General features: G+C 40.4%; 1 protein-coding gene across 12 annotated transcripts in view; it reads left to right on the forward strand.

The window, feature by feature from the left end:
* The window catches only part of TTC6 (tetratricopeptide repeat domain 6), a 247,089-nt gene that overhangs the window by 9,407 nt on the left and 212,490 nt on the right, over positions 1–25,192 (forward strand). For 8 of the 12 annotated variants that reach the window (XR_007064009.1, XR_001750287.2, NM_001310135.5 and 5 more), the window contains exons 2-3: positions 1,628–1,707; positions 17,015–17,968. Coding sequence is in view for 9 of the 12 variants with exons in the window: in XM_017021254.2 (XP_016876743.1) it covers positions 1,675–1,707; positions 17,015–17,968 (987 nt within the window). In the remaining 3 variants the exon portion in view is untranslated. Of the gene's footprint in view, positions 1–1,627; positions 1,708–6,189; positions 6,387–17,014; positions 17,969–25,192 lie in introns of those variants that run through there. The other 4 variants (XM_047431332.1, XM_047431333.1, XM_047431337.1 and 1 more) reach the window with 4 other exon arrangements.

Consider the following 25,192-nt stretch of genomic DNA (forward strand, 5'->3'; position numbering starts at 1 on the left):
ATATTAAAGACTTAAATGTTACCTTGCATGTGCAAGAAAGCTTAGTGGGATGCTAAAGTTTAATTAAGACAGACAATATAGTCTGTGAAAAGACCAAATCACAGAGGGGCTTCAGTGATTTGTCTGCTCAGATATAGATATGTCTGCTCAAGTGAAGACCAGAAATTGATTAAACCCTCCTATTGATGAAGTTTGGAAGGGCTGCAGTTCAGCTGTGGATCCAGGACTCTTTCATGAGAAATGTCCCACAAATTTTAGACAACGAGTTTGGATGGGCTAAGAAGGTCCTGCATAGCAGCTTCAGTAAGTTTCTGAATTCTGCTTCACTCAGTAATCAGGATCCGGGTGGATAAAATAAAATATATCCTTCACTGGAAAACAGAAAAACAACACATCTTCAAAGCTTATTAATTTTTCTTGGATTGGTATGTGGGTGAGTGAGTATGGGGGAAGTGGGATGGTACACAGAAGTCTCAGGCAGTGATCTCTGGCTAAATGCAGCTTCTGTTTTTACAGCTTACTTGGGAGAGCTGTTAGTTTTTCTAAGCATAAACCAGGCATTGGTTCTCTAAGCTCAATGTTTAGGCTACAAAGCACATACAACAGTCTTACATATCTACCTTTAGAAAAGGAATGTCTCTGACCTCAAACTCAGTAAAATCTCTAGTGTATTACCATAGCTGGAGAACATCTAAGCAAAGCCCTTTGGAGGTGTAAAGTGTAAATGGAATGCTAAACATCAGCTACTACCTCCAAGAAAAATAAATCCTTAATTCCTGGCCAAGTACACCTGCTTTAGACCAGGCTCATTAGTGTTATTTGTATCTTTTCTTTTTCAAATGGATAGTTTTATTCACAGGTTTTTTTTTTTTTCTGTCTGCTCAGTGCTTGCTATTTTTATCCTGCCTTAAGAACCCCCGAGGTCATGCCCCAATGCCAGACTTCCAAGGTGCTCCAAAGAAGAGTGGTAGCTGACTTCCCAGGGGTCCATTTCTGAACTCCATAAGCTTAGATGTTAGAACCCCGTTGGAGTTTGGGATCTGGAAGGAAGCTTGGCAGATGTTAATTAGGTTACCATGGGTAAGGTGGGGTGAGCAGGTGCTTGAAGAAGTCTGGAGGTAATCAATGCCAGGGAGAACCCTAAGGCAATGGAAGGTGTCTCAATGTGTTCATTTCTGTGGATCAATGGCAGTACAGGCAACTTTTGGTAGGGGACTCTGGGGGTTATTCTCTGTTATACTCTCTGGCTGCCCCCTTTGCCTACTTCTCTTTAGGCCACGTTACTTAGTCTTCCTTGCCTTTGGACTTACAAATGGGTTTGACCAATGGAGGACAATGGTGCAGGACTGAAGGGCAGGAGGGTAGAGTGTTAGGAGTACTTAGGCTTCCTGCTTTCTCCCTGCATCACTGTGGTTTTGTCCTTTACTTCCCCTCTCTGTCTCTACAGTCCCATCAGCAGCTCCTCTTCCACAGCTTCAGCTCTCGCCAGTCTCTGTTAACACCTCCTTTTCCCCCGTTGCCCCTTCAGATCAAAAGTGTCAATACCTTCCTAATATTGCTAGACCTTGAGTGACTCATTTTCTCTTGTTAGTTCCCTTTAATCCCACCTTCAAATTTTTTTCCCTAGGAAAACCCTTTCCTGTATGCCATCTGTTTTCTGTGGGGCCCTGAGTGATGAGGAGAGGAACAAGGATTCATGGAAGTGAGGTATGATGTCTTCAGTTCTTTCCAGTTCATCCTCATCCTGTAAGTCATCAAAAGGCTCTACTCCTTCCCTGTCACCATCTTGGAGTACAGCCATGAAGGCTCCAGGATTTCTGTGGTGGCTGGTTTCTACAGGAAAGGCTGCCTATGGGTCTAGCAGGAAAGCACACTCTGAGTTTATTTGCATTACATTTGCCATTTTAATTTGCTGATTTGCATTTGACATAATTGTTAAAGTAACTGATGCTAAAATAAAATATTGATAGTATCAAGTTTTTTTGACTTAGGCTACAAAGCACATACAACAGTCTTGCATATCTACCTTTAGAAAAGGAATGGCTCTGACCTCAAACTCAGCAAAATCTCTAGTGTATTACCATAGCTGGAGAACATGTAAGCAAAGCCCTTTGGAGGTGTAAAGTGTAAATGGAATGCTAAACTGAGCTTTGCTATAAATCAAGGACTGAGACTTTTGCTAGTGGTGAGTTGTGTTAATAGAAGCAGACACTAAACTAGGTCCAGTGACCGAGGGGCTCATGGGAAATGTCCTTGTGTGTTCCCCAAGGCCTCAGCATCTTTGGTTCCTCATCTCTAGAACATTAAGTCTAGAGCTCAGTCCTTTTCAGGTCTGTGTCTGGCAACAACTCAGTCTTGACTAGTGCTAAACCAGTGACATTATTTAGGTGTGACCATCAATGAGAATTCTATGTGCCAACATTGTGCTAGATACTAAAGATACTAAATTGAAGACAAGATTCTGCCTTCCAAAGATTAAAACAATGTTTCAATATTACTATTTGAAAATTTTGCATACTTCTATGTAGGAAAAGTTCATGAAAGTAGAATTTCTGGGTTAAAATACATGCAAGTATTTAGTCTTTTTTTTTTTTTTTCTTTTTCTTTTTTTGAGACAGGGTCCTGCTCTGTTTCCCAGGCTGGTGTGCAGTGGGGCAATCATAGCTCACTGCAGCCTTGGACTCCTGGGCTCCAACAATCCTCCCACCTCAGCCCCAAGGTAGCTAGGACTATAGGTGCATGCCACCATGCCCAGCTAATTATTAAAATTTTCTTGTAAAGGTGGAGTCTTGCTATGTTGCTCAGAATGCTATATTTAAGACATTTGAGACATTTTGCTATATGATATCTAGCAGGATGCCCTCAGAAATCTATAAGTAATCCTGTTTCCTCACTCCCATGCACATACTCTTACTAACTTTGTAATTTGATTGATGAAAATTGCATAACATTGTTTTAATTTGTATTTATGAGATTAGTTGAGTTGAATATTTTTATATCTCTATTGGCCACAATAGTTCTTCTTTTTGGAACTGCCATTCACACCTTCATTAGCCAATTGAAAATTTGGAGTGTCTACTTCTCATCTACAGAATATTGATCCCATGTCTGCTATAAATATTGTGAAATTTTTACCAGGTTTTTATTTGCATTTCAATTTTATTTTTAAATGCATAATGCACATGTTTCAACAATCGGTATTTTTATTTATAGTTTCTGCCTTTTATGGTTTAGCGCTTACAAGTTTTTTTTGTGTGTGTGTGTGTGTGTGTTTTTGTTGTTGTTGTTTTTTGAGACAGGATCTCATTGTGGCACCGAGGCTGGAGTTCAGTGATAAGATCCTGGCTCACTGCAGCCTCGACTTCCTGGGCCTAAGCAATCCTCCTACCTTAGCCTCCTGAGTAGCTGAGACTATAGGTTCATGCCACCACACCTGGCTAATTTTTTTGCCAGGTGAGTCAGGGTTTCACTATATTGCTCAGGCTGGTCTTGAACTCCTGGGCTCAAGTGATTCTATTGCCTTGGCCTTCCAAAGTGCTGGAATTACAGGTGTGAGCCACCAGTGCTTGCAAGCCTTATCTACACAAAATCAAAATCTTTCATCCAATTGGAACTTATTTTGTGCGCAATATGAAGTAAAGACATGATTTTAATATTTTATTTCCCAAGTATATAAACCTTTAGGTGGGCCCTAATTGTGGGGAGCCTCAAATTCTCTTTGGAGAACTGTGTTCGGACTTTGTTCTGTGGTGATACATCAAAGGTGTGGGAGCTGGAAAGTCACACTGGCCCTGCTTTCACTCATACTGTAGTGAACTACAGGGGGCTTTGAAGCTGGGTAGCAAGAGGACTGGTGGGTGGTGGTTGGAAAGTGGCAAAAGCTAGAGGAAATCATAGTGTTTCAATGACTACTTGAATGATTTTATGCTGCTCGTTTGAGTCTAATTCCCCTCTCTTTAAGATGTACTTGAAGTATTAACATTTCCATATGAAGGCATTATAATATCAACAAGTTTGAAATACCTTTAAATCAATAACTAACTCCTCCTCCTCCCACTTTTTCTGTCTCCCACTCTCACCTTTTTAAAATGAAGCTAGATCTGCCAGGCACAGTGGCTTGTGCATGTAACCCAGGCACTTTGGGAGGCAGAGGTGAGAGGATTCCTTGAGCCCAAAAGCTCAAGCCTGGGCAGTGTAGAGACCCCTGTCTCTACAATATATATATATAAAATTAGCTGGGCATGCTGGTACACTCCTGTAGTTCCCGCTACTTGGGAGACTGAGGCAGGAGGATTGCTTGAGCCTGGGAAGTCAAGGCTGTAGTGAGCCGTGTTTGCCCCACTGCCCACCAGCCTGGGTGACAGAGTGAGACCCTGTCTCAATCAATCAATCAATCAATCAATAAACTAGACCTAGAACAGAGGTTCCTAGCACAGGATTACTAGCTAGGGGACCTCAGGTGAATTCCTTAATCTCTTTGTACAATCTCTTATCTGTACAATGAAGATGATAATACTGCCTAGTTCATGGATTGTATTATCCTATGGTATGGATACCTGAGTCCTTAGTTACTGTTTTTTGATTACATAAAGTATTAATGAACACTATTTATTTGTCATTTAAATTGTTTCCTGACTATATGATAGACATATTTCAAGGTTACATTAATTTGAACTATTTTTTCAGTTTAGGAACATGGCATGTATATTATTTTTGTGCAGCATTCGGGATGGTACCATGAACAATTAGTCACTTCACAAGCACTTTGGCTATTTGTTTATTATTTTAATTAGCAGGGAAAAGTAATTTACTCCTGGCCTGAAGCGGCTACTCCTACACTTAGAGTAAAGCTGCCCATACAGAGTGCTCACAGGGCAGTGAGATGTGATGTAAATGCAGTAAAATCGCAGGGTTGGCAGATCTTTTTCTGCAGAATGCTTCTCATCTTGAGAGCATTCAGCAACCATTTTTGAACACATTGTATTAGGGAGTGAAATAACAGACCTTAGAGGGTGGATTATGATCTCAATTTTACAGATGAGCATGCAGAAACCCAGAGAGGGAAAGCAACTGGCCCACATGGTAAAGCTGTGTGTCCCAGGCTGGCTTTGTCTGTTTCTACAGCAGGAGCTACCTTCTGGGAGGCCTGAGGATGCCTGAGTGCATCAGTCTCCAAAGCAAGGCTGTTCAGAGGCCCCGCTCTAGGGAACTGTGGAGCACGAGACTTTTATCGTGAACTTCTGAGAAACATGTTGCCCTCTTCCAGCACAGATCTCATGGAGGATCTCTAGAGCGTTTATTTCTTTTGACTATTCATGGCAACAAACTCCAGTACATTTTATCTGCCATTCTCCCCACCTCATTTTTTAGTTGCCTGAATTTGGAGAGAGAGGGGTTGGTACAGAGGAATATAAAATAAACATGTGTGGGCCTGCTAAGTGTACTGAGCAAAGCACATTCATCTACACTATATTATCTAATTGGTTTTTCTTTTTCTTTTTGAGCTTTTAAAAAATGGTGAGATATTACACAAGAAAATGAACACAACACAAAACAATGGTTTATCACAAAGAGAAAATCTGAGAAGCCATCACCAAGGTTAAAAAGCAGAATGTTAACTAGCATCCCGACTGCCGTAGTACTGCCTGCCCACTCACCATCACCGTCCCACTCCCAAGATGGCTACTCTCTGGACTTTTATGGTTATCACTTTCTTGTGTTTATTTGTAATACACCAGCTGAGTCTACATCCATAAGCACCACAGTTTTTGAACTTTGTGTGATGAAATCATACATTATGTACCCCTCGGTGTCTGGCTTCTTCGCTCAACATTATGTTTGTGAGACGTTCATCTGTGTTGCTTCCCAAAGCTGAAGTTTTAAGTCTCGGGGTCCAGCATTATTCTTTTAAACGCAGAAAGAGCAAGAGTGTTAAGTAAGCAGTTGGTTAAGCTCCGCAAAAGCTGCCAATCCAGGCGGCTTCAGTCCAAGAGGCTCTTCGGGAGCAGCGTCTTTTTAGCGCCGGGAGAAGTGAGGCCTGGGTTTGGGGTCCAAGTCCGAGGCTGCCCCGGAGCGGGTCCCGCAAGGCGGGTGCACTTGAGGTGGGCGCCACGGTGCTGGGGGCTCCTACAGGGCAGAGGCGCGGAGAGGCGGGGCGGGGGAGGGCGCGCGGCTCGTTGCTGGGCGACCGAGCGCGTCCTCTCTTCGGTGGAGCCAGTCGAGCCCACCCGGCCCCTAGGCACAGGAAAGGCCTGTTGGACACTCGCCGAGCGGCGGGGCCAAGCTCACCGCCACCTGAATTGGAGCGGAGGCGCCCTCGATGCCGGGTGAGAGGAGAACGCGGCCTGGGGCGCGGTGACTTCGTGTGGGCGCTTTGCGAAGGAGAGGTGCGTTGTTTGGGCGGAGCGGTTGTCCCCTCTGTTCCGCCTCGCTAATCCGCTGTGGCAGGTTCACCCCGGCAGAAATCAGGGTAGAAAAAGGGGCTGGGGCACTGGGGCTGGAGTTTGGGCTGCCTTTCGTGGGAGAATGAGCACGGGTTGAAGAGGAGCTGGAAGGATTGAGAACCTGGTGGAAGGGAGAGGTAGGTGCACGACGCCCCACGGGGCTGTGGGGACAAGAGAAAAAGAGGCTAGGAAGGAGAAAGAGGGGGATTCAAAGAGACTTCGGGAGGTGAAAGGTCACAGTGGAGGGACTTTAATTTCCATCTACCTGACCTCTGCTGTCCCTTTACAGGGCAGCTTGTTTTGAGTAAACCTCAACCACCAGTAGGTGGTTGCCCCACTAGGGTCGATGTGTGTAGTTTCAGAATAGAGACCAGTTTCCTGAGTTTGGCTCCAACTCCTTGGTGGACGGTGAGACACTGTGGGCTTAATGCAAGGATTGTTGGCATTGAAACCCACGACCCACAATGGAACTGTTGCAAACTACTGCTGCAGAAATTTAAAGGAGATCAATAGTTTTTTTTTTTAACATGCAAATCTAAAAGTTGAACAAATTGCTTTTTTCATATCTACAACTTTATAGAGGCATAATTTATATTCAGTAAGTTGCACAAATGAACAGTTGTACAATGTACAAGGTACAGGCATACAATTTGATGAGTTTTGACAGATTCATACACCTTTGAAACATTTCCTGCAATCAATATAACCGAACCTTTTCATTCTTCTGCCCTCTTTGCTCTTCATCCCTGCTTTTAGCCCACACCATGTAACCAATCACGGATCTGCTGTGTGACACTATAGAAGAGGTTGCATTTTCTAGAATTTTATACACAAGAAAGCATACAGTATATGCTCTTTTGTGTCTGACTTCCTTTACTTGGCATAATGATTTGCCATGACCTTTGCCTTGATTACTGTAGCTTACTATAATAGGTTTTGAAATTGGATAGTGCAAGTCCTCTAGCCTTTTCTTTTTAAAAATCACATTGGTGATTTTAAGTCATTTGAATTTATGTATACATTTTAGATTCAGCTTGTAATTTCTATTTAAAAACCTGCTGTATTTTTTATTGGGATTGCATTGACTGTATAGATCTATTTGGGAGAATCGTGATTTTAAGAATATTGAGTCTTCTAATCTATGGACATGATATGTCTCCATTTATGTAGATCTTTAATTTCTGCAAATAAGATTTTGTAATTTTCAGTGTAGAGATTTTGGACATTTTTTGTCAGATTAATTCCTAAATTTTATGTTTTGTGGAGGCACTAGTGTAAGTGGAATTTTAAAAATATTTTCCAGTTGCTTGCTGCTACTATATAAACATGGAACTGATTTTGTATGTTGTTAACTGTGTATTGTGCAACCTTGATACTTTCACTCTTAGTACATATAGATTTTTGTAGATTCCTCAGGATTTTTATCCTAAAAATTATGTCATCTGCAAATAGGGACGCTTTAACCTTTTCCTTTTCAATCTTTATTACTTTTATTTCTTTACCTTGCCATATTGCAATGGCTAAGACCTTCAGTATGATGTTGGATATGCATGAAAAGAGTGAGACATTTTTTCCTTGTTTCCAATTTTAGGGGGAAAGCATAAATATAATGTTAGCTGTAAATTTTTTGAGGATTCTCTTAATCAGATTGAGGATGTTCTCTATGATTCACAGTTTGCCTAGAGCTACTAATTTATTTTTATCCTGAATGGTTGTTGAATTATGTCAAATGTTTTTTACTACCAAAATAATCATAATATTTTCATGTACTCTGTTAATATAGTGAATTATATTGATTTGCAAATAAATATAATAAAATCAGATACTTAAATCAATTTTTCAACCCTTGGATAAACTCTATTTGGTCAAAATGTATTATCCTTTTCAAAAATATATTTTTGGATTTGATTTGCTAATATTTTGTTAATGATTTTTGCATGTATGCGCATAAGGAATATTAGTATGTAATTTTCTTTCTTTAAAAAATGCCTTTGTCAGGTTTAGTATTATGGTTATGTAGGTATCATAAAATAAATTTTCCTCCCTCCTCTATTTGCTGAAAGAAATTTATGTAAGATGGGTGTTATTTCTTTCTTGAATACTTGAGAAAACCATCCAGGGCTGGAATTGTCTTTGTGGTAAGATTTTTTGATAACAGATAAAATTTTTTAAAAATATAGAGCTATTCAGATTTCCTGTTTCTTATGTTAATTTTGGTAAGTTGTAGTTTTCAGAATTGCCCATTTCATCTAAATTGTTAGATGTTGTTGGTATAGTGTTGTTTATCACATTTTTAAAATTGTCCTTTAGTATCTTTAGGTTTTATAGTGAAATCCTCTTTCATTCCTGATATTGGTGATTTTCGTTCTCTTAAACAGGCTAGCCAGATGGGTTTTTAAATTTTGTTGAGATTTTAAAAGAACCAACCTTTGACTTAGTTAATTTTCTCAATTCTTTTTCTGTTTTCCATGTGATTGATTTATATCCTTATATTTATTATTTCCTTCCATTAGTTTGAGTATGCATTATTCTTCTTTTCCTAGATTCTTAATATGGAACTTTAGGTTATTGATTTTAGACCTTTCTTCTTTTTGATTTCATCATTTAGGGTATAAGTTTCCTTCTAAACACTGCTTCAGCTACACCCCACACATTCTGATATGTTGTGTTTTCATTATTATTCAGTCTAAAATATTTTTTAAGATTTAATAATATCTTTTGTTTTTCATTTCCTTACCTATTGGCTTTTTAGTTGCACCTCTTTGTATTACTTTAAAAATGGTTTCTCCAGTAATTACAATATACCTTCTTAACATTTCAAAGTCTACTTAAAGTTGATATTGAACTAGTTCACATAAAATGCAGAAACTGTACAACCATATAGTTCCTTTACCCACACCTATCCCAGTCTTTTTGGTTCTGGTTGTCATATGTACTGCACCTACCTACATAAACATCCCACAACACAATATCATAATTTTCGTACATTATTTTTAAACTTAAGAGAAAAAAATAGCTTCATGCACTTACTCAGACATTTGACATTTCTCATCTTCATTCATTTTTAAAGATTTAAATTTCCTTCTGGTATCATTTCTCTTCTGCCTGAAGACCATTCTTTAGCATTTCTTGTAATTCCTATCCGCTGGTGAGTAATTCTCTTAGGTTTTTTTTTTTTAATCTGAATATGTCTTTATTTTGTTTACCTTTTAAAAAAGAATATGCATGCTAGGTATAGAATACTTGGTTGACAGTTTAAATTAATCAATTAATTAATTTATTTATTGAGACAGAGTCTTGCTGTGTTGCCCAGGCTGGAGTGCAGTGTCACAATCTTGGCTCATTGCAGCCTCTGCCTCCTGGATTCAAGAAGTTCTCTTGCTTCAGCCTCCCACGTAACTGGGATTACAGCTGCCCAGCACCATGCCCAGCTAACTTTAGTATTTTTAGTACAGATGGAGTTTCACCATGTTGGCTGGGCTGGTCTCAAACTCCTGACCTCAAGATATCTGCCTGCCTGGGCCTCCCAAAGTGCTGGGATTACAGGCATGAGCCACTGCACCTGCTCTGGGTTGACATTTAAAAAAAATCTTTTAGCATGTTACAAATCCTGTTTCCCTGTCTTCTGTTCTTAGGGGTGTCTGATGAGAAGTCCATGGTCTTTGAATTATTGTTTCCCTGTCAATAATGTGTTGTTTCTCTCTGTCTGCTTTTGAATTTTGTCTTTGTCTTTGTTTTTCATCACCTTACATATGATTTTCTTTACATTTATTCTGATTGAGATTCACTGAGCTTCTTGAATTTATAAATTTGTCTTTCTTCAAATTTAGGAAGTTCTCAAACATAATTATTTTTTATTTTTTGAGACAGATTCTCTCTTTGTCACTCAGGCTGCTGGAGTGCAGTGGAGCAATCATTCTCCTTTTTCCTTGGGATACTAATTATCTGAATGTTAGCGCTTTTTGGTATTATCCTTACAGGGATATCAGGCTTTCTTTTTTGTCTTTTCTTATAATGGATAATTTCTGTGCATTTATCTTTAAACTCAGTTACTCTTTTCTCTGACATCTCCATTTTCCTAATCAAATTTTTTTGAAAATATATTTTCAGGTATAAAATTTCTATTTTTATTTTTTTAATTTCTTTGCCAAGATTTTCTTTTTATTAATCTCTAGCATATTTTCCTTTACTTCATTGAGCATAGTTATAACAGTTGCTTTAATGTCCTTTTCTAATAATCTGAACATCTGAGTCATTTCTGGACTGGGATCTGTTCAATTTTCTTTTTCTTTTTATTAATCTCTAGCATATTTTCCTTTACTTGATTGAGCATGGTTATAAGAGTTGCTTTAATGTCCTTTTCTAATAATCTCAACACCTGAGTCATTTCTGGACTGGAATCTGTTTATTATGTTTACCTCTGAGAATGATTCAATTTTCCCAAGGCTTTTCATGCCAAGTATTTTTGGACTATATCCTGGACATTGTGAATGTTTTGTCATGTAGAGTCTAGGTTCTGTCATATCCTTTCTGAAGAATGTTGTTATTTTCCATTTAGCAGGCATTTCACCAGTCAGTTAAACTCACTGTAAGTCTTGTCTTACTCTGTGGTTGGTGGTTCAGTTCAGCTCTTTAAGCCTTTACTGTGCTACTTTGAGTTTGTCCTGCATATACGTGAATCAAAGGTCAGTCGGAGACGTGTGGGGTTTAGATAGAATTTGGGGATTATCTTCTCTGGGTCTCTTCCTTCTGGAATTTCTCTCTCACTTCTCAGTGATGTTTGTTGTCTGGGCTCCTTTCCCTGATTCTTCTGGCTAGAATGATGAAGGGCTTCCTATCAATGTTTTTGACACTTGCACTATGCCATTTCTGCAGTTATGGACTGTGTTTGAAGAAAAACCACAATAAACCTGGAAACTTCTCTCCAGGCCAGTTTACACAAATGTTGACTTTCCTCTACAATCTTCCTGCTTTTGTTTACTCTGAAGAATTCTTAGGTCAATAAAAAAAATTTCTCCAGACTTTATATGTTGCTGTGAGGAATTGATCTGTAAAGATGCATCTGTGAATTAGCCAGGCATGGTGGCGGGTCTCTGTAGTCCCAGCTACTCAGGAGGCTGAGGCAGGAGAGTGGCGTGAACCCGGGAGACGGAGCTTGCGGTGAGCGAAGATCGCGCCACTGCACTCCAGCCTGGGCGACAGAGTGATACTCTGCCTCAACACTGCACTCCAGCCTGGGCGGAAGAGTGATACTCCATCTCAAAAAAAAAAAAAAAAAAGATGCATCTATGGCTCTCCAACAAATTGCTTTTGAAACTGACAGCAGGCAATATTTTAACATGTCAAAAGTACAATGACCATTAAACATACACACGCATCATTTTATTTTTATTTATTCTTAAAAAAAATTATTTTTATTTAAGACAGAGTCTTTGTCACCCAGGCTGGAGTGCAGTGGCACAATGATGGCTCACTGCAGCCTTGACCTCCTGGGCTCAAGCAATCCTTCTACCTCAGCCTCCTGTCTAGCTGGAACCAGAGGCATGTACCAACATGCCCGGTTAATTTTTTACTTTTTGTAGAGACAGGGTCTCCTTATGTTGCCTTCGTTGGTCTTGAACTCCTGGGCTCAAGCGATTCTCCCTTCTTGGCCTCCCAAAGCGCTGGGATTGCAAGATGAGCCACTGCACCTGGCCACATTTTATTTTTAAATTTTGGCTTTTTAAGCAATTAAAGGGAGTCCAAGAAGTGAAGATAGAAAGTGGGGAGAAGAAAAACGCAGGGGAGTATTTTGTTGTTTCATTAGCTGTTATGTATTTATATATGTATGTATTTTTGAATGTAAGTATATTCACAAGGGATATAGGCATATTCTAAGTGACTGTTATAAAGGGCTGAGCTTTTATAGTTATTGAAATTTCTGTGAGCTTTTGAATAGCTCAGAGAGAAACCTCTTCTGAGCCTGAAAAATAGCTTTTTCTCTATTTTCTATATCCTTTTAAATGAGCACATGTAAGTGGTTTTTACTATTATTGATATTAACAGGATTAAAGGCAGCTAAACAAGTATAGAAAGTGCAGAAAAATAGAAAAAAAATCACTGTTTTCCCATTCTCTTAGCAAAATTATTAATATGTTTATATATTTCTTTTGAGGCTTTTTTTTGGTAAATGACAATGAGGACACAAACAGATCTCATTTCTCCCACTGATATTTCAGAAGCAAATATTGTTTTCAGAATATTTTTGTTTTCCTTGCAAGGCTGAAGATTTTACTAAATGAGATAGATTGTCCTTGGGTTAAGAAGTTTCTTTTGGAACTTTAGTACTGTGCATTGGAAATTGACATTGGCCTGAAGTTTAGGAGGTATGTCAGTTGAGATGATATTTGATTATGGACCTAGGAAAACCCAAATCTTGTTCTTAAAAGGTTATCCTTCTCAGTGTGGTCCCCTGACTACATATAGGAAGAGGTCAAGGTCTGGTAATTCATATTACTTTCTGGGCCCATTCCTAATGTAATACTCTGATGAGCTAGGCCTAACATATGCAGACTGCTTTCCCTTTTTGAGGTGGGTTTGTGTAGCTTGGAACCAAGTCATGTGGTAATCTGCTCCATTTATTTTGACTTTAGTTACAGTCTAGAGCAAAGTTTTGGATTTTCCGTTCCAACAGGAGAAATAGACACAACTGCAAGAACCAGAGAGTAACCTGCAATGGTCTAGAGAATTCAAGTGTGCAGCCCTGCCTGAGTCTTTAGCCATTTTTGGCTGGAGAACTTTCTTCTGATGGCTGACCTGGTCTTGTGAGAGAGAAGAAAAGGCTGGCTCTTGACCCTTCTGACTGCTTCACTGCTCAGGCCTTGAACCTTCTGGCAGAAGAGAAAGGAAAAGGCATAGACAGATTTTAAGAGCATTCTGTCCCGTTTTAAAGTGTAGGGTAAACATAATCAACCTGGTTTGTGAGCTGCCTATTTGACACATCATGTAGATGAATACTTTTTCCTTTAGAGACAACTACATTATTTTTCCCTTGGTATTGCCAAACTAGAACTAGTCTCTCTTAGTAAATTGCTCCTATGAAAAAGAGAACATGCTATTTTCTCATGAGAATGAATGTTTAAAAGTCATTTTATGTATTTTGTGTTGTAGGAGTGGGTGGGGGAATAAAGGCACTTAGCTTTGATGGACTGGCCCATGAAGCACTGGTATACCACTCATCTTGAACGCACAATAGAAGTTCCTGTTGAATTTAGAAGTTCTATTTCCTGTTGGTTTAATTTTAGATAGAAAGAGCAACTTTCCTGTTAAGAACTCATGGGAATGTACTGAGAAGTGTTAAACAATGAACACTTGTTAAACTTCAATAGCAAACCAAAGGCCTGGGAGAAGTGGGAAAGCAGGAACTAAGAAATAAAAGGGAAGTGCAAGTGGGAGAGTCAAGTCAGATTCTCATCAGGTACTAATGTACTTCTGGTCTGTGCTCTGTTCCAGTTACTACCTTTCAACCTTTTGCAGGAAGAAATGCAGATAGTGTTGATATGAACATATTGCCACCTGTGCAAACAATAAGAGCCAAAATACTATGCGGGGCGGGGGGATTATACAGCATTTTTTAAAGTAGGGAAACTTGCTTAAGGGCTTTAGAAATAATTTCTAATGTTCATATCCTATGGCCTGGAAAACTGGCAACAGATTATTTTCACTTTTTAATATGAACCCTTGGTATGGATAGAATTGAATTGTCCAAGGTCTAGTCAGTCATGGAGCTAGGTAAAGAAAGAAAGCCTATTGATTCCCAGATATGATGAGCTCTTCGTGTAGCAGGGTCTTCAGTTAAACGCAATACGACTATATTTGGGGGATAAACAGGAGATTTTCTTCATACTATCAAACATCATGATAAATGAATAATTACAATTATAAAGATAATTATTTCATGAATTGATATGAGTCCAACTAAGAAATGTAGATAAGTGATAAAAATGCAAAGTAAAATAAAAATATATTTTCCACATTTAAGTTTTAAGTCCATATGGATTTATTTGGGTACATGTCATGAAATACACCAAAAAATTGCACCAAATAGTTGTCCAGTTGTCTCAGCACAATTTATTGAAAAATTCTTTTATCATCAATTTAATGCTGCCTTTATAATATAACTAATATTATATTTAATCCTTTTTCTCACTTTCTCAGTGTAGCTATTGATTTTAGCAGCAGTTTTTCAGTTCTAATTCTTTTATCTGTAAACCTTTTATTTATCTGGTTGCTCTTCATTGAGGGACAAGTGCTCCCTTGTCATTTATGTTTTCCATTTTTTTTTTTGGCTAATCCAGCCTGTTTATTATTTCAAATGAATTCAGAATTACCTTTCAAAGTTCAAAATATCATTTTCAGAGTTTTGCACTGGCATGAAACCAAACCAGTATTTTGGGAAGACCTGATATAATTAAAATATTTGGTCTTTCCATCAAGGAACATTAACTTCCTATTTAGTTGAATCTTTCTTCAATGTCCTTCAGTAAAATTTTAAAAATTTAATCACCTAGTTTCAGTACATTTTTTTGTTAGGTTTATGCCTAGATACTTACTTTAAAAAATATTACAAATGAAATTTTACCATTATAGTAAAAAAATTGTTTTAAATAAGGACAGGGGCTCTGTTGCCCAGGCTAGAGTCCATTATGTTTTTGATAGGACCATTTTGGTACAAAGAAATTATTGGGGGATATATACATATATATATATTTTAAATTCAAATCTCTTGCAGAATCCTATTAGAGTTCTAGTGTCTGTGTTTTCAGTAGATAATCATATCTGGAAATAATGATGACATTCCAGAGGTGTTTCTGCCTTACTGTTTTATTTATTTTCAAAGAAACTTGACCTTAGGTATTCTCTAAAGACTTCTAGTTCATTGTATTTTGTTTTACTTTCATTGTTTTACCCTGATTTCTTGAAATGCTCCTCTTGGTGTGTTCTGTGGAACACTGTCCTCTTCGTTTTTCTAACTCTCTGATTACTCTTGCCCCTCCCGCCTCACACAGGTAAGTGTGCCACAGAACCTGCCATCGGTTCCCTATTTATATTTACTGCTAGCCTGGCTTTGTGTAATGATCTTTCAAGATCTCAAAATCTACTTATGATCATAGCTAGCTGGCCCTGCTGAATAACAGAATTTTTTAAAATTGTAGTTAAAATCCACATAACAAAATTTGTCCTCTTTACCATTTTAAAGTGTACAGTTCAGTGAATAACAGAAGTTTTATTATGACTAAGACTTCATTAGGCTGACTCAAAGTCCCTATTTTTTGAAGGAGCTTTCATTGCTCCCATTCATTCCTAATCATTGGCCAGGTCCTGTCAGTTTTACCTTGCTTTGTCTCTGTTTTTACTGTGCTTCATTATCAAGGTCAGACTCAGGCTCCAGCTACCAGATTCTTACTTGTCCTGCCAGCCTTTATTCTTTCTTCTAGTCAATATATCAAGTTACTTTTCTGCTAAAAATTTTGAGTGGTTTCCAGTAGCTCACAGAAAAAGTACAGAGAGTGGCACTGAAGGCCTCATAATCTAGCTGCAGCCTGCTCTGAGGCTTCCCCCATTCCCTTCCTACACACTGCTGTGGCTCAGGTGACACTTGGAGGGAGTGAGCTGGGTAAGGAAGGGGACACCTGGGACCAGCTGGAGAGAGAAGGGGAAACAGCTGTCTAGCCACAAGAACTGGGATTTGGCCCTTGCACTGACAGACCCTTCATTTTTCTTTTTTTTCAGAGAAACTGCAAATCTGAATTGGTTTATGAAAATCTTCCAATTTAAAATAGCTGGCTATGAATTAAGATTGTGGAAGTAAGCCAGACATGGTTGCTCATGCCTGTAATTCCAACACTTTGGAAGGCTGAGGTGGGAGGATGGCATGAGCCCAGGGAGTTAGAGACCAGCCTGGGCAACACAAGGAGACTGAGTCTTTACAAAAAATTAAAGTATTAGCTGGATGTGGTGTACCACATTTGGTCGCAGCTACTCAGGAGGCTTAGGTGGGAGGATCGCTTGAGCCCAGGAGGCCGAGGCTGCACTAAGCCATGATCATGCCACTGTACTCCAGTCACATGGGCAACAGAGCGAGATCTTGTCTCAAAAAAAGAAAAAATTGTTGAAATACTCTGAACTATATGGGCTGAATGATCCAGGCCTCAGGCCACAGTTTGTGACCTTTATTCTGTTGTAGCAGGGGTCCTGGGGATTTTCTAAGCTATGTTTAGTATGATGCTGCTTGCCTGGAAGTGGAACATTACTAATTAGAGTCTAAAGAAATGTTAAAAGAAATCCAATAGGGGTTTGGGAAGCCTCCACCGAAAAAAATGACTGTTTTAGAGGTTTTTCATGGTTCTTGTGAAAGGGCCAATAGGTGGATATAAAATTACATGATAATTTTACCCGCTTGTGCCTCAGGGAGCACGGTGAGGTTCTCTTATGAGAAGCTTTGCTGAGCTGAAATTTTATTCCAGTTTTGTTTTATATTTATGTATATACGCACACAACATATGTGATTGTTTTGGGGGCTTACTTTACAGGTCAAATTTGTCAAGATGTCCACAATCCCGAGACACTTTGGCCTGAAATACAAAGAGGAATCGTATATGTTTAAAGAGCTTGAGAAAGTTCGGCAGGAAACTAAAAAGGATTTTCTCCGATTCAAGCAGAAGTTGGCCTCCAAGCCGGCTGTAGATGAAAGCCCAGTCCACAGCCTCCATGCCCCCGGCCCGGCCCGCCCCGCGCGCGTTTCCTGCGCCGCAGCCCGGACGTCGAGAAGATACCCTTCGCTTAAAGGCCCTGCGATGTCCGCGGCCGCCCTCCTGCAGGAGGTGCTCGGAGGCGCGCCGCGTCCCTCGGGCCTGGGTGAGGCGGCGGCTCCAGGCAAGACCCGGTCGTTTCGCCCCCGGGACTTTTACTTGCGGAGCTCCGCGTTCCTACGGCACCAGGCCCTGAAAAAGCCCCCAGTCATCGCCTCGGGGTTCGGCACGGCCAGACCCGTGGTCCTGCTGCCTCCGCCCGAGCCACCCGTGAAGCGCAGAGCGCGCGGGGTCTTGGAGAGCTCGCGGCACGCGGCTCCCAGGCGGGTCTTCCACTTGGGAAGGGAGCGCGAACAGAGCCAGGAGGTAGCTCCTCTCGCAGGGCCCTGCATGGCCAAAGAGAGGAAGGCCAGCTCCGTCTCCGCAGAGGACGGCTACATGGAGGCCAGCAGCGGGCGGAGGAAAGTGAGGATCCGCAGCAACTTCGTGAGCGAGAGCGGGGCCCGCGAGGCGCGGGAAGCGGCGGGGTTAGGAGCCCAGGGAGAACAGGAGAGCTGGCCGCCCAGCGACGCGCGGGAGGCCGCCTGGCAGGCGCTGCTGCCCTCCCGCGTGATCCCCACGTCCATCGAAGAGATCATCGCCTCTCTGCAGTCCGAGGCCCAGCTGGCCTCCGACCAGACCATCAAAGAGCTCATACGGAGCGTCCTTGGCCAGAACTACGACATTACAATGGAAGTAGGTGAACCAAAACAAGAGTAACATTTTTCCCAAATGCAATTTGGGTTACATTACATATGTAAGAGTAGTTTATTATGGATAATATTTCAGTGCATAAGGTGTCATGTATTATAACACAAAAACACTGGGGTGTTATTCAACTTCTTTGCATTTTGTTTGAATTTTCCATTTGAATTTTTGAATTTTCTGTCTTATCCTCTTTTCAAAGTGAAGGAAACTGAGCCATGATCCCAGAAACTGGTTCAGAGAACATTAGCTGAAGACTTCAGTAATAACGTCACTAGGAGCCTTCCCCTTCAAAGGTTTCGTGATTATTTAGTGTTAAAGGAACAGGCATTTTATGTGAAAAACTCTTTTTTCTGTTACAGTTTAGTATTATTAGTAGTAAATTACAGCAAAAGTGCATTTATATTCTAAGAAGATCAGCATGTTACTATTTATAAGAATTCTATATTTTCAGTGAAAGTCATTCTCTTGAAACATTTTTAAAAACTTTATTTTCTATGTCTTCCCAATCATAGAGATTTGTAAGTGCTTCTTGTGTGCCAAACTCTATGGGACACACTTTACATGCATTTTTGTCCCCATGACAACCCTATCAGGTCAATAGATACTAATAAAAGTCCTGTCTGACGTGGAGGCCTTCTAGCTTTAGTGAAGTTAAAAAAGATTGGCACAGTGTTCTGGAGCTAATGCATGGCAGAGCTGGGATTCCACCCCAGGCAGTCTCATCCAAGACACTGAGCTGGAACCATGCCCAGGACAGCCCATTGATTCACTATGACTTGTCCCTGGCAGGAAGCTAAGCTAGATGGGGTCATATTTAAGTTTAAGATATTTTGTCCATTATACAGACTTTGCTGTGGCAGGGACATTGACAGCAAAAGCAGTAACAAGGGAACTTGAGCCCCAAACCCAAAGAAAGAAAGAAAGAAAGAAAAAATATGAGACACGGTCTTTTTTGAGAATGACAGAAGCAAGAAGATTCTATTACTGTTCTTGGCTGCAGCTACAAATATCTTATTAGTACACAGAATACTGCTACTGCATTATGTCTTTAAAATTGTTTCAGCCCCAGAATACACTCTTGGCTGTGATTTAAGGAATGTGACCATAAAGGGAAGCAAAAACAGGTATGAACAAGAGTCTCTGGTGTTGCCTTTGGCCTAATGTTTGTGGGCAGAGTATGACAAATGTTCTGAGTTGAGACTCACACCTCCCCATTGTTACTGAACAAGATTAGGGTGACTGCTCAGGCCATTTCAAAATGGGTATTTCTAGTTAGATTTTCTATGAATCTAATAAGAAAACAAATCAGGGATGCCCAATGAAGAGCCTTAGCAAAGAGAAGAAAGGCCTCGGTGCCCCTACTTCTGACATAGGCTCCATGCTCTACGACATAGTTAAGGTACTTGACATGAAGAGAGGATGGTATTAGAAACTGGTCCAGAGGTCCCGTACAGTTGAGGAAAGTTATACCTCAGAGCAGGGTCCCATAAGAAAGATTGTATTTTGACAGGCTCAAATGGACTTAGGGATATATGAAGAGAGACTATTAAATGAATAATGAACATTGCAGTGTATTCAGCTCTTTTACCAGAAGTGTTAATTCCTCTTGTGTATTCTTTTTTTTTTGACGGAGTTTTGCTCTGTCGCTCAGGCTGGAGTGCAGTAGTGTGGTCTCCGCTCACTGCCACCTTCACCTCCTGGGTTCACGCCATTCTCCTGCCTCAGCCTCCCAAGTAGCTGGGACTACAGCCGCCCACCACTATGCCCGGCTAATTTTTTGTATTTTTAGTAGAGACAGGGTTTCACCATGTTAGCCAGGATGGTCTCGATCTCCTGACCTCGTGATCCGCCCGCCTCGGCCTCCCAAAGTGCTAGGATTACAGGCTTGAGCCACTGCGCCCGGCCCCACTTGTGTATTCTTTTTATGGCATTTCTCCTACATATTGTTTTATGTCGGAGAGTGGCATGGATCATGGAGCATTAGAATCAAGTGTATCTTGGACAGCATCAGGTGTCTCAGTCCCATCTCTGCCTCTCATTATCTTGATTTTTTGAGTGCAGCCTGGATTTCGTTCTTGGCTTTTAAAATTTTGACACCCCCACCCCACAACAATTCCAGAAGATAGAGCTTGCATTTCTTAAAGTAAAAGTGGCTTCAGAAGTTTTATTAGGGTGAAAAATGTACAATGGGGAATTTGTTGAAATGGCACTGGGTGGTAGGTGAGAGATAGCAATAAGAATGCAAGTATAGGCCGGGCGCGGTGGCTCACGCTTGTAATCCCAGCACTTTGGGAGGCTGAGGCGGGTGGATCACCTGAGGTCAGGAGTTCGAGACCAGCCTGGCCAACATGGTGAAACCCCATCTCTACTAAAAATACAAAAATTAGCCGGGCGTGGTGGCAGGCGCCTGTAATCACAGCTACTTGGGAGGCTGAGGCAGGAAAATCTCTTGAACCCGGGAGGCGGAGGTTGCAGTGAGCCTAGATCGCACCATTGGACTCCAGCCTGGGGGACAAGAGCGAGACTTCGTCTAAAAAAAAAAAAAAAAGAATGTAAGTATGCAAGTATAAAAGTCGTGTCCAAATTATGATTTTAAAAATTCTTAAGAAGATTCGAATAAGGACTTTTGTTTTAAACGTTTGGGGCTTATGTAAATGATGTTCTTTCCAGGAAAAACAAGGAACATGATTCTTCCCTTTAGAAATCATAACTTGCAGCCACATAGCAATCCCTAGAGGGAAGCTGAGAGGTAAGATGATCTCAGCAGGCTGGACTGTCTTTGTTGAGAGCTTGGGAAAGGACATTCCACATGCAGCACTTGGAGGTCCATAGTTACCTGGGCCTGGAGTTGCAAAGAATACGGAGGGTTAAACTTAGCTGTCAAATGTCAGACATCTAAACCAGGATTTCTCAACATTGGCACTATTGACATTTTGGGCCACTTAATTTTTCATTGAAGGTGGCTGTCCTGTGAATTGTAGGATGTTTCAAGGCATCCGTGGCTTCTATACACTAGATACTAGTAGCACCTCCCAAGTCATAACAATAAAAAATGTCTCTAGATGTTGCCAGATGAGCCCTTGAGGCGGGGGCAAAATTATGCCACCCTCTTTTATCCAATTGAGAACCACTGACCTAAACAGTATGCATATACCATGGCAGGAGAAGTAGAAATGTTATGAATGTTTGTTTGTTTTGCTAAGACATTCAATAGTATCAGTCACAAAAATACATTCTAATTACATGTGGCTGGGGTTCACAGACCACTTTCCAGATGTTAATTGGAGGATGAAGTATCCAGGTGGTCCTTGCTTCTGTCATGCGTAGTTGTTTTTGATCATATAACTCAAAAGGAAAACGGCTTAATATGACCTAGATAAGAGAAAATTCATAGTCCAAGGTCTCCCATAAGCAAATAACATACAGTCTACAAAAATGTTATGTTATAAAACTTAAGCTTATGTTTGCCTCGGGGAAGATGAAATAGATATCCTTTTTCTCTATTCTTCCTGCTAAGTAAAACTAACTATAAACCCTGAACATTATATATAAAACAAATACCAGAAGACCCCAAAACGTGAATAGCAGAAGACAGCTCATCTAGGGACTTTGGGACACAAGGAATGAACTGGTGGTGAATTCTCTGACTTTTCTTTTTGCCTAATTTCTCCCAGACTTGTAGCTAAAGAAGCTGGTAACATACATAGGAATGCCAATGGTTACAGCTAGAAAAATCTGCAACAAAAGCCTGCTCTTTAGCCAAAGGATCAGGAAAGGGGCAGCCTAGCAAGACAAAAAATTTTTAGACGATAACTATGTTACTCCAGCTAAATACTGCGGAAAAACCTATGGCGCCACTCCCACCCCACCACTCAAGGCTGAATGGGGAGCCTGTATTTCTAATATAATTTCGGTATTTGTTCACACTCAAATCTCATGTTGAATTTTAATCCTCAGTGCTGCAGGTGGGGCCTGGTGGGAGGTGTTTGGGTCATGGTGGGATCCCTCATGGCTTGGTGCTCTCTTTGCAACTGTGGGAGAGTTCTTGCAAGATCTGGCCATTTAAAAATGTGTGGCCCCTTCCCCCCACTCTCTCTTGCTCCTACTTTCATCATGTGAAGTGCCTGCTCCCACTTTGCCTTCCACTATGATTTTTAGCTTCCTGAGGCCTCCCCAGAAGGCGATGCCAGATCTGTGCATCCCGTACAGCCTGTAGAACCATGAGCCTATTAAACCTCTTTCCTTTATAAATTACCCAGTCTCTGGTATTTCTTTTTTTTTTAAATTGTATTAAATCTTTTATTTTTATTATTATACTTTAAGTTCTGGGATACATGTGCAGGTTTGTTACATAGATATAGAAGTGTCATGGTGGTTTGCTGCGCCCATCAACCCATCATCTACGTTAGGTATTTCTTCTAATGCTATCCCTCCCCTAGCCCCCCACCCCCTGACAGGCCCCGCTGTGTGATGTTCCCTTCCCTGTGTCCATGTGTTCTCATTGTTCAACTCCCACTTATAAGTGAGAACATGTGGTGTTTGCTTTTCTGTTCATGTGTTAGTTTGCTGAGAATGATGGTTTCCAGCTTCATCCATGTCCCTGCAAAGGACATGAACTCATCCTTTTTTATGGCTGCATAGTATTCAATGGTGTATATGTGCCACATTTTCTTTATCCAGTCTATCACTGACGGGCATTAGGGTTGGTTCCAAGTCTTTGCTATTGTGAATAGTGCTGCAATAAACATATGTGTGCATGTGTCTTTATAGTAGAAGGATTTGGGGTATATACCCAGTAATGGGATCGCTGGGTCAAATGGTATTTCTGGTTCTAGATCCTTGAGGAATTGCCACACTGTCTTCCACGGTGGTTGAACTAATTTACACACCCACCAACAGTGTAAAAGCGTTCCTATTTCTCCACATCCTCTCCAGCATCTCTTGATTCCTGACTTGTTTTTGTTTTTGTTTTGAGATGGAGTTTCGCTCTTGTTGCCCAGGCTGGAGTGCAATGGCATGATCTCAGCTCACTGCAACCTCCACCTCCCAGGTTTAAGCAATTCTCTTGCCTCAGCCTCCTGAGTAGCTGGAATTGCAGGCATGTCCCACCACGCCTGGCTAACTTTGTATTTTTATAGAGACAGGATTTTACCATGTTGGTCATGCTAGTCTCGAACTCCTGACTGAACTCAGGTGATCCGCCCACCTTGGTCTCCCAAAGTGCTGGGATGAAAGGCATGAGCCACTGTGCCTGGCCTGTTTCCTGACTTTTTAATGATTGCCATTCTAACTGGCATGAGATGGTATCTCATTGTGGTTTTGATTTGTATTTCTCTAATGACCAGTGATGATGAGCTTTTTTCATATGTTTGTTGACCACATAAATGTCTTCTTTTGAGAAGTGTCTGTTCATATCCTTCACCCCCTTTTTGATGGGGTTGTTTTTTTTCCTGTAAATTTATTTAAGTTCCTTGTAGATTCTGGATATTAGCCCTTTGTGAGATGGATAGATTGCAAAAATTTTCTCCCATTCTATAGGTTGCCTGTTCTTTCTGATGATAGTTTGTTTTGCTGTGCAGAAGCTTTTTAGTTTAATTAGATCCCAGCTGTCAATTTTGGCTTTTGTTGCCATTGCTTTTGCTGTTTCAATCATGAAGTCTTTGCCCATGCGTATGTCCTGAATGGTATTGCCTAGATTTTCTTCTAGGGTTTTTATAGTTTTATGTTTTATGTTTAAGTCTTTAATTCATCTTGAGTTAATTTTTGTATAAGGTGCAAGGAAGGGGTCCAGTTTCAGTTTTCTGCATATGGCTAGCCAGTTTTCCCAACACCATTTATTAAATAGTGAATCCTTTTCCCACTGCTTGTTTTTGTCAGGTTTGTCAAAGGTCAGATGGTTGTAGATGTGTGGTGTTATTTCTGAGGCCTCTGTTCTGTTCCATTGGTCTATATATCTTTTTGGTACCAGTACCATGCTGTTTTGGTTATGGTAGCTGTGTAGTATAGTTTGAAGTCAGGTAGCATGATGCCTCCAGCTTTATTCTTTTTGCTTAGGATTGTCTTGGCTATACGGGCTCTTTTTTGGTTCCATATGAAATTTAAAGTAGTTTTTTCTAGTTCTTTGAAGAAAGTCAGTGGTAGCTTGATGGGGATAGCATTGAATCTATAAATTACTTTGGGCAGTATGGCCATTTTCACGATATTGATTCTTCCTATCCATGAGCATGGAATATTTTTCCATTTGTTTGTGTCCTCTCTTATTTACTTGAGCAGTGGTTTGTAGTTCTCCTTGAAGAGGTCCTTTACATCCCTTCTAAGTTGTATTCCTAGTTATTTTTTTTTCTTTGCAGCATTTGTGAATGGGAGTTCATTCATGATTTGGCTCTCTGTTTGTCTATTATTGGTGTATAGGAATGCTTGTGATTTTTGCATATTGATTTTGTATCCTGAGACTTTGCTGAAATTGCTTATCAACTTAAGGAGATTTTGGGCTGAGAGGATGGGGTTTTCTAAATATACAATCATGTCATTTGCAGACAGAGACAATTTGACTTCTTCACTTCCTATTTGAACACACTTTATTTCTTTCTCTTGCCTGATTGCTCTGGCCAGAACTTCCAATACTATGTTGAATAGGAGGGGTGAGAGAGGGCATCCTTGTGTTTTGCTGGTTTTCAAAGGGAATGCTTCCAGCTTTTGCCCATTCCGTATGATATTGGCTTTGGGCTTGTCATAAATAGCTCTTATTATTTTGAGATACGTCCCATCAATACCTAGTTTATAGAGCATTTTTAGCATGAAGGACTGTTGAATTTTATTGAAGGCCTTTTCTGCATGTATTGAGATAATCATGTGGTTTTTGTTGTTGGTTCTGTTTATGTGATGAATTATGTTTATTGATTTGAGTATGTTGAACCAGCCTTGCATCCCAGGGATGAAGCCGACTCGATCATAGTGGATAAGCTCTTTGATGTGCTGCTGGACTCAGTTTGTTAATCTTTTCAATAAACTAGTTCCTGGATTCATTGATTTTTTTGGAAGGGTTTTTCGTGTCTCTGCCTCCTTTGGTTCTGATCTCATTTTAGTTATTTCTTGTCTTCTGCTAGCTTTTAAATTTATTTGTCCTTGCTTCTCTAGTTCTTTTAACCGTCATGTTAGGGTATAGATTTTAGATCTTTCCTGCTTTCTCCTGTGGACATTTAGTGCTATAAA

This window comes from Homo sapiens, chromosome 14 (genome assembly GCF_000001405.40).
Source record: "Homo sapiens chromosome 14, GRCh38.p14 Primary Assembly".
Taxonomy (NCBI): Eukaryota; Metazoa; Chordata; class Mammalia; order Primates; family Hominidae; genus Homo; species Homo sapiens.